Source organism: Homo sapiens, chromosome 5 (genome assembly GCF_000001405.40).
Source record: "Homo sapiens chromosome 5, GRCh38.p14 Primary Assembly".
Taxonomy (NCBI): domain Eukaryota; kingdom Metazoa; phylum Chordata; class Mammalia; order Primates; family Hominidae; genus Homo; species Homo sapiens.
Genome location: NC_000005.10, coordinates 140846427 through 140854569, shown reverse-complemented (window position 1 = coordinate 140854569; position 8143 = coordinate 140846427). Strand labels below are relative to the sequence as shown.

The window sequence follows — 8143 nt, the reverse complement described above, 5'->3', positions numbered from 1 at the left end:
TGACAGAGCAACAATATTTATGAATAAGAAAACTGACAGAAATGGGTGTCACTTAATCCATCAGTTTATGTGTCCTACTAAATTCTGTTTCTATACTTCTCTACTCCTCTGGAATGCCTCTTGCATCAAAATTCATTCAAATTCTGATTTTAGAGATTACTTTTTTATAAACCCTGAATTAAAATGTAATGAGTTATGTATCAAAATATCAACGTTTGTTTTAGCTATCTGGAGCGTAAAATAAGTTTGCCATTGATCAATCATCTCCACGCACAAAATAATAAAAACTAAACTCAATTTCTACTAATGTACATTTTATACCAAGTGATAACATAAATATCCCAATGTAGATGTCCAATATTGAATAAAAAGTAGGGAGTAGTTAAACTACTCTTTTTTTTTTTTTTTTTGAGACAGAATCTTGCTGTCACCCGGGCTGAAATGCAGTTGTGCCATCACAGTTCACTGCAGCCTCAATGTCCCAGGCTCAAGCGATTCTCTCGCCTCAGCCTCCTGAGTAATTGGGACTAGAGATGTGTGCCACCATGCCCGGCTAATTTTTTTTTTTTGGCAGAGATGAGTCTCACTACATTGGTCTCAAACTGCTGGGCTCAAGGAAGGGACCCTCCCACCTTGGCCTCCCAAAATGTTGGGATTGCAGGTGTCAGGCCACCACATCTTTTTAAATTACAGAAACTTGCACTGTCAAGTATCAAATAGGGCTATGGATCTAAAATTTCGGTTGTATGAGAATCATCTCAGGTGTGCTTTAAAATGAAAATTTGCTCTTACTACCCATTTCAGAATTTCTGAGGTGGAGCCTTGAACCAGAACATTCAATGAGGACTTAGGTGCTGCTAATGCTAATGCGTTAGCAGGTCTAAGGATAGGTTGACCATAGGCCCCAATTTGTCTGGAACAGGCTCAATTTAGGTCTGTGATCTTGTATACTTATTTACAGCACCCCCTTTGCTCTCAAAGTGTCTAAGATATTGGGTGACAACTTAGTTTTTCCTATATAGTAATTACAACTTGAAAAGAGACATAGGAGGAGCTTCATTATTGTTTCATGATTCTAACTTGAATTGAGGAATGTTAACTACAGATGCATATAAGGAGACCTATTAGGCAAAATAGGAAAGTGTCTCTTCTGCTTTCACCTCTCTGTTTTGAACTTGACAGGCTGTTTTGAATTTTACCATCTCTGGATCCCTGTGAGTTCATGTTTGCTAATGACCTCAAAAGATAAATTTATTACTAAGGTGTTCACAGCCCTTCTGAGAATTTGCATATGATGAGAGCTTGTACTCTGAGAGAGAATAGAGATTAATATGAAGGACTAAATTACCAATCCCATCAATACAGCCGTCAATAATAAAGAACACATTTTAGGCCAGGCGCGGTGGCTCACGCCTGTAATCCCAGCATTTTGGGAGGCTGAGGCGGGAGGATCATGAGGTCAGGAGATCGAGACCATCCTGACTAACACGGTGAAACCCCATCTCTACTAAAAATACAAAAAAATTAGGCGGGCATGGTGGCAGGCGCCTGTAGTCCCAGCTACTCGGGAGGCTGAGGCAGGAGAATGGCGTGAACACGGGAGGGGGAGCTTGGAGTGAGCCAAGATGGCACCACTGCACTCCAGCCTGGGCAACAGAGCGAGACTCTGACTCAAAAAAAAAAATACGTTTTATGATTATTGATGACATAGTAAATGCTTAGTAAGTACTAGCTCTAAGGAGACTGGAGGACTTAGGGCGGGAGACAAATGACATCTGTAGCATCCCTCTATTCACATCAAATAATCAGATACCTGGGTCCAAGTTTAAATGGCACATGAAACTTGAAAAACGTGCAAAGACAAAGATACTTGAAAGTATAAGACTATATTCAAGGTGAGTTGTGCTGATAGACAGATATAGATAGGTTTAATGACAGGAGCTCAGAGACCACTCAAGTTTTGAAAGAAAATGACAAAAAAAAAAAATAAAAAAGCCTTGGCACAGTGGCTCACAGCTTTAATCCCAGCACTTTGGGAGGCCGAGGTGGGAGCATCACAAGGTCAGGAGTTCGAGACCAACCTGGCCAACATGATGAAACCCCATCTCTACTAAAAATACAAAAATTAGCTGGGCGCGGTGGCATGTGCCTATAATCCCAGCTACTCAGGAGGCTGAGGCAGGAGAATTGCTTGAACCCAGGAGGCAGACGTTGCAGTGAGCCAAGATCATGCCACTGTACTCCAGCCTGGGTGGCAGAAAACGACTCCGTCTCAGAAAAATAAAAAGACAAAAAACATGTAATATTGTAGCATATTCCAAAAGTGTGTTTTAAGGGAAAATTTAAAAATTAAAATATTTTGTTTTAAATAAACGTTACTGGCATTTTCATAGTTATTTTTGTGGCTCTATTCTCAAGGCCATTCTGATCTTTCTCTACTGAGTTTTTAATTAGGTCATACCTTGTAAAATATCTGACACAATATTAAATAAAATAGCTGAAAGAGAAAGAAAAATATAAACCACATAACAAAAACTCAATAAGCGAAGTTTTTAAAACTATAAATTAGAAAACAAACAAATAGCTTGCACTAAAGGTAGAGTGTGGAAAACCACCATTTTGAAAGTCACATACTACAATTCAGGAAACATAACATGTAGTGACATTAAAGAGGCAAATCTCATATCCAGATTTCTGCCTTGTGTTATGTATGAGCTGAGAGGAGAAAAAGATATTTTTAAAAAAACAGATTTCTGTCTTATGGATTACTGACAGAACAAGTGAATTCTCATCTAAATTCATAAGGGTAATGTTTTAAGTTACAGACTCTGAATTTCAAAAGAACTCGAAGTTTCGAATCTTCACATGGCTGATCATTTTATCACTGAATGGAGAAAATTTCAATTAAAAGGAGAATGTCTTCTTGAAGAAAGGAAACACTTGTTTAAAAAGCATTTTCTCCAATTTCTGTAAACTGAATTTCAAAAAATGTTCTAAGTGTAGACAAAATTTCAGTCAACATTTCTTGAATTATCTACATTGTCAGGCATTTTAAAACATATTTTATATAAGTTGAAATGAAGGCTGTGTTTATAACATTTATTGACATAATTTGATTCCTAAAGTGGAGCAACTGTTTTCTAAAGTTTAGGGGAAGTTTCTTTCTTATTAAAATAATAGATACTGAAGGTTGCTGAACAATCAGATGTTCACAGTCTCCATCCAGAGAAATGTAGAGAACTACAAACTTAACAAGGTAACAATTGCTATATATTTTTGCTTGGGTTTCTTATAAACAATACAAGTAGACTAAAATACTATGCATCATTTAGCAATAAATAAATGATAGTGATGTTAATGTTTAATGAATGACTAACAACTAAATTGGTTTTCAAGTGTTATGGCAGCATAGCATCAGAAATTCAATGTCACTTTAATCACAAATTTAAATAAAATTGATTCAGCACCCAAAAAATATCTATTTAATATACAGTTTATAATTCTCACTAGAAGTCAAGACAAAGTCGGCTCCAATGTTAAGGGGTTTACTTTATCAGAAAAAAAATCTGCTGGATTTCTAGAAAAATGAATAAAACTATTTGAACGGCCCCTGGGAGTAATCGATAATATCTTTCAAGAAAAAAAATTATATAAATAAATAAAATGCTAGAAAAACCCACCTTCCCAGTTGAATCTGAGGAAGCAGAGGGTTCTCCCGTTCGCTCTGTAGATCCAGCACAAGGAGAAAGGCCCGGGCTGAAGGCCATGAGGTCGGTCTTCTGCTTACCCTCGCCAGAGCACACCCTCTGCCTCCTCTGCTGCGAGTACGACCAACTCCCCACCGCGCTAGAACACACCAGCGTCGGCTTGCCAGGCGCGCACTCGCCCTCGGTGGGCATCGCCGAGCACCGCAGCACAGTGTACAGCAGCAGCGTGAGAACCAACAGGCTAGACACCGCGCAGATGGCGATGATCAGGTACACGTTGACATCCACCAGCGTCACCTCGGGGCCCGTGGCACCCACTGACGCCCGCGACGATGACTTTGGCGCCTGGCCGCTCTCCACCAGCGACACCAGCACAGTGGCCGTGGCCGTCAGCGCTGGCTCCCCGTGGTCTTTCACCAGCACCAGTAGGCGCTGGCGCGGTGCGTCCGTTTCGTCCAGGGCACGCGTTGTGCTGATCTCGCCCGTGTACAGCCCCACGCGGAACGGGATGCTCGCGCTGGCCGTTTCTGGCTGCAGCTCGTATGAAAGCCACGCGTTGTAGCCCGAGTCGGCGTCCACTGCGCGCACCTTCCCCACCACTACGCCGGCGCCCACCGACCGCAGCACCATCTCGCTCACTGCGCCGTCAGTGCCCCTCATCCGAGGTGTCAGCAGCGCCGGCGCATTGTCGTTCTCGTCCAGCACGAACACCTGCAGCGTCACGTTGCTGCCCAGAGGCGGCACGCCCGCGTCGCGCGCGCTCACCTGGAACTGTAGCAGCTCCAGCTCCTCGTGGTCCAACGGCTGCAGCGCGTACACCTTGCCGCTCTCCGCGTGCACTGACACGTAGCTCGACAGCGAGCGCTCGCCCAACCGCCGCTCCACCAGCGAGTAGGACACCAGGGCGTTCTCCTGCGCGTCAGCGTCCCGCGCAGACACCGTGAAGATGTGGCAGCCCGGCGGGTTGTTCTCCTTCACGAACACCGTGTACTCGGACTGCGCGAACGCTGGTGCGTTGTCGTTCACGTCGGCCACCTCCACAGACACCCTGGCCGTGGCCCACAGTGAAGGCGAGCCCCCGTCCCGCGCGGTAACCACCAGCTCGTAGGCGGACACACTCTCGCGGTCCAGAGCTCTGTCCAGCACCAACGAGTAGTAATTCTTGTAGGTGGACACCAGCTTGAAGGGGACGTGGGGCGTCAGGGAGCAGGTAACCTGCCCGTTGGCATCTGCGTCTAGGTCGATCACACTAATCAGGGCAATAACTGTCCCCAGTTGTGCGTCCTCTTTTACAGGAACCGAGAGCGTTTTGATAGTCAACTGTGGAGCATTGTCATTTACATCCACAACTTCCACAAGAAGTGTACAATGACCAGCCAGGGGTGGGAAGCCTTTATCGACAGCCTCGACTGGGATCTTGTGTGCTCTACTTTCTTCAAAATCCATATGTCCTATCACTGTGATTGCCCCACTTAAGGGGTCCATGTGGAACTTGGATTTTATATCTGGAGAAACATCACTGGAGAAGGAGTAAATAATATCCCCATTCAAGCCTTCGTCTAAATCTGAGGCATTGGGGTGAATCACCAGCGTTCCGATAGAAACGTTTTCTGGTAATTTCACCGTATACAGGGTTCTGTCGAACACTGGGGCATTGTCATTGTTGTCCAGTACCGTGATGAGTAATTGAACGGTGCCAGTCAGCTCGGGTTTGCCTCCATCGGTGGCCGTGAGCAATAAATGAAGCTCCGGAGTTTCTTCTCTGTCTAAAAGTTTCCGTAATACAAGTCCAAGAGGTTTTACCTGCTGGTTGCTGGTTGGCACGTCCAGGAAGAAATACTCATTGGGGCTCAGTCTGTAAGTGAGCAGGGCGTTCTCCCCGATATCTGCATCGGACGCGCCCTCTAGTGGAAACCGAGAGTCAAGCGGCCTGGATTCCGCGATGAACAGATTCTTTTGTGTCGCTGGGAACACTGGAGGGTTGTCGTTAATGTCCTTCACCTCCACGTCCACATGGAAAACCTGCAGCGGCCTGTCTACGATCACCTCCAGGTGGATGCTGCACTCCGCGCTCCGCCCGCACAGCTCCTCGCGGTCGATCCGAGAATTCACAAACAAAATGCCATTCTGCAGATTTACCTCCAGAAGGTCCCCGCGGCCTTTGGAATCCAACTGGAACAGGCGCGGCACCAGCTCCGCCAGCTCCAGCCCCAGGTCCTGCGCGATGCGGCCCACGAAGGTGCCGTGTTCGGCTTCCTCCGGGACGGAGTAGTGGAGCTGGCCGCTCCCCACCACCCACATTGCGAGGATCAGAAGCGAGAGCAGTAGAGGCTGACCCTCTGGATCTCCTCGACTTGAGTATAACATTTCAAATACTCAGTCTTCTTCTAATTAGTGAAAATTGCCTCCAAATTAGAAGAAATCATCTGATTTCGTCAGTCCCATTCTGCTGTGTTCGCCATCGTTCAGCACAGAGAGAGTGAAAAAGAATTGAGCCTCTTTCCCATGGGAAAAGGGCTGTATTTGTCTGGATTCAGAGAGAACATCGCGGCAAAGAGTGACATCACGTGGCCCAAAGTGTAAGTACATATTTCATGAATAAAAATTTCACAGTTATTCTGCAAAACTTATTTCATTTTCTTAATTTTTTCTTAAGTAATGATTGTTGAAACAGAAGATCCCGTTTCTCTTGCTGGAGCCTTCTTAGCAGACTGACTGCCTCTAAAAGTTTTGTATGACCTTGATTGTGGTTTTCTTATCCCTGAGAAAACTCTCCACTTAAGTTTTAAATAACGACAGAAATGAAGTAACAATTAAAATGATTCCATTGAGCAATCACGAATTTTAAATTACAAAATTCTTTTGTTCTGGAATTCAGAATCTCCCATATGGCTCGAAATAGGATTCTAGTGTAAGAGAAATCCAGGAGTTGCAATCTCTAGTGAATATAGGAGCCCAGAAATCTACTGATGAAAAAGAAACTTAGTCATGTCTGGTAAAAGGAATCAACAAAAAGTAGCAACCAACTGAGGTAGTTTTCTTGAGTAATTCTATGAATTGAAAAGGTATAAAATATTGCAAGAAAAGCGAGAATTGACTTTAAGGTCTTGTGTTGCGTGGGGAGAAAATATATTTTTCTCTTTTGTAGCATTTATACAATCTGTTTCCAGAAATGTGTTGTTTTGATTCTTTCCAAGCTTTATAATCTATGAATAATCTCTTCTTTGTAGTCTCCAATATAGTTTGTGTAATGTTATTACAATATGTTTTAATTTCATTATTGCTCATCCTTAGTACTCGGGGCAATTTCTGTTTTTAAAGCTATGCTTGAGATTCTTTTCCTGACTAAGTTCTACAAAGTTTTGTTGTGAGTTTTACTATCTTATTCCAACGTCCAAGTCGATTAATTAAATCTAGATTTTAGTGTATCTCAAGTCTAAAGGCAAAACCGTGAGTGTTTATTGTGCCATTAATGTTTTTGCATATTTATCTTTTATTTCGTATTTCTACTGATAACAGCCTAAGAGGTGCATTTAACAATTGCTTCTGTCCTTGATTACTGCAGGAGCTTCTGAGTTTGTCTTCCCGTTCAACCTTCTTTCAAAAGTCGTGATTTATTTTGCTCAAGGTAGTTAAATAGCTCCCAATTAATTCTAAAGAGTGGCCAAATTCCTTAATCACTCATGGCCCTTTAGTTTATTACTCAGAAATCAAGAGATCTTCTTACATTGGTTTTCCTGCTTTCATTCTCTGCAGACTGTGTGTTTTAACCAAAGTGGACTTTTCTACTTGTCATATTGATGCTTTCTGTGTCTTCAACTTTCCTTATGTTTTCTCTTTCCAAGAAATGTCTATCATTCTCAATATTCTCCCGGGGGGAACTTACTTATTTTAAAACCACTGAAACACACCATGCCCCTTCAAGTATTTCTTCAAAAATTCAAATAGGAAATGATTGTCTTTCAACTTCAACGTCATTCTGATTTACCTCTTGTACCTGTTACATTATCTTGCCTTGCATTGTGTGACTCATATTCTTTATTTGACCTCAAATTTTAAAGCCAGGGGCTGGGGCTCAGTAATAATTCCTGACATGATGATATGCTGTTAGAGATCTGTAAGGGTCCTATTTAATGTTTAATGAAGACTGGTTATTACAATCTTCTCTACTTGCTAAGAAAGCATTTTAGGCTGGGCGCGGTGGCTCATGCCTGTAATCCCAGCACTTTAGGAGGCCGAAGTGGGCGGATCAGGAGGTCAGGAGATCGAGACCATCCTGGCTAACATGGTGAAACCCCGACTCTACTAAAAATACAAAAAATTAGCAGGGCATGGTGGCATGCACCTGTAATCCCAGCTACTTGGGAGGCTGAGGAAGGAGAATCATTTGAACCCGGGAGGCAGAGGTTGCAGTGAGCCGAGATTGCGCCACTGCA

The 8143-nt window shown here is 43.3% G+C and overlaps 9 protein-coding genes and 1 further gene across 12 annotated transcripts in view; all 10 read right to left on the bottom strand.

Annotated features, from left to right (window-relative positions):
• Positions 1 to 6188, bottom strand: part of PCDHA9 (protocadherin alpha 9) — a 163966-nt gene extending 157778 nt beyond the window's left edge. The window contains exon 1 of one of the 2 annotated variants that reach the window (NM_031857.2): positions 3681 to 6188. In NM_031857.2, the coding sequence (NP_114063.1) occupies positions 3681 to 6074 (2394 nt within the window). In that variant the 5' untranslated portion in view covers positions 6075 to 6188. Of the gene's footprint in view, positions 1 to 410 lie in introns of those variants that run through there. The other variant, NM_014005.5, reaches the window with a different exon arrangement.
• Positions 1 to 8143, bottom strand: part of PCDHA@ (protocadherin alpha cluster, complex locus) — a 226209-nt gene that overhangs the window by 157775 nt on the left and 60291 nt on the right.
• Positions 1 to 8143, bottom strand: part of PCDHA1 (protocadherin alpha 1) — a 226208-nt gene that overhangs the window by 157778 nt on the left and 60287 nt on the right. The gene's annotated exons all lie outside the window — the stretch shown is intronic.
• PCDHA2 (protocadherin alpha 2) overlaps positions 1 to 8143 on the bottom strand; it is a 217496-nt gene that overhangs the window by 157778 nt on the left and 51575 nt on the right. The window lies entirely within an intron of this gene.
• The window catches only part of PCDHA3 (protocadherin alpha 3), a 211291-nt gene that overhangs the window by 157778 nt on the left and 45370 nt on the right, over positions 1 to 8143 (bottom strand). The window lies entirely within an intron of this gene.
• Positions 1 to 8143, bottom strand: part of PCDHA4 (protocadherin alpha 4) — a 205280-nt gene that overhangs the window by 157778 nt on the left and 39359 nt on the right. The window lies entirely within an intron of this gene.
• PCDHA5 (protocadherin alpha 5) overlaps positions 1 to 8143 on the bottom strand; it is a 190735-nt gene that overhangs the window by 157778 nt on the left and 24814 nt on the right. The window lies entirely within an intron of this gene.
• PCDHA6 (protocadherin alpha 6) overlaps positions 1 to 8143 on the bottom strand; it is a 184388-nt gene that overhangs the window by 157778 nt on the left and 18467 nt on the right. The gene's annotated exons all lie outside the window — the stretch shown is intronic.
• PCDHA7 (protocadherin alpha 7) overlaps positions 1 to 8143 on the bottom strand; it is a 178079-nt gene that overhangs the window by 157778 nt on the left and 12158 nt on the right. The gene's annotated exons all lie outside the window — the stretch shown is intronic.
• PCDHA8 (protocadherin alpha 8) overlaps positions 1 to 8143 on the bottom strand; it is a 171161-nt gene that overhangs the window by 157778 nt on the left and 5240 nt on the right. The window lies entirely within an intron of this gene.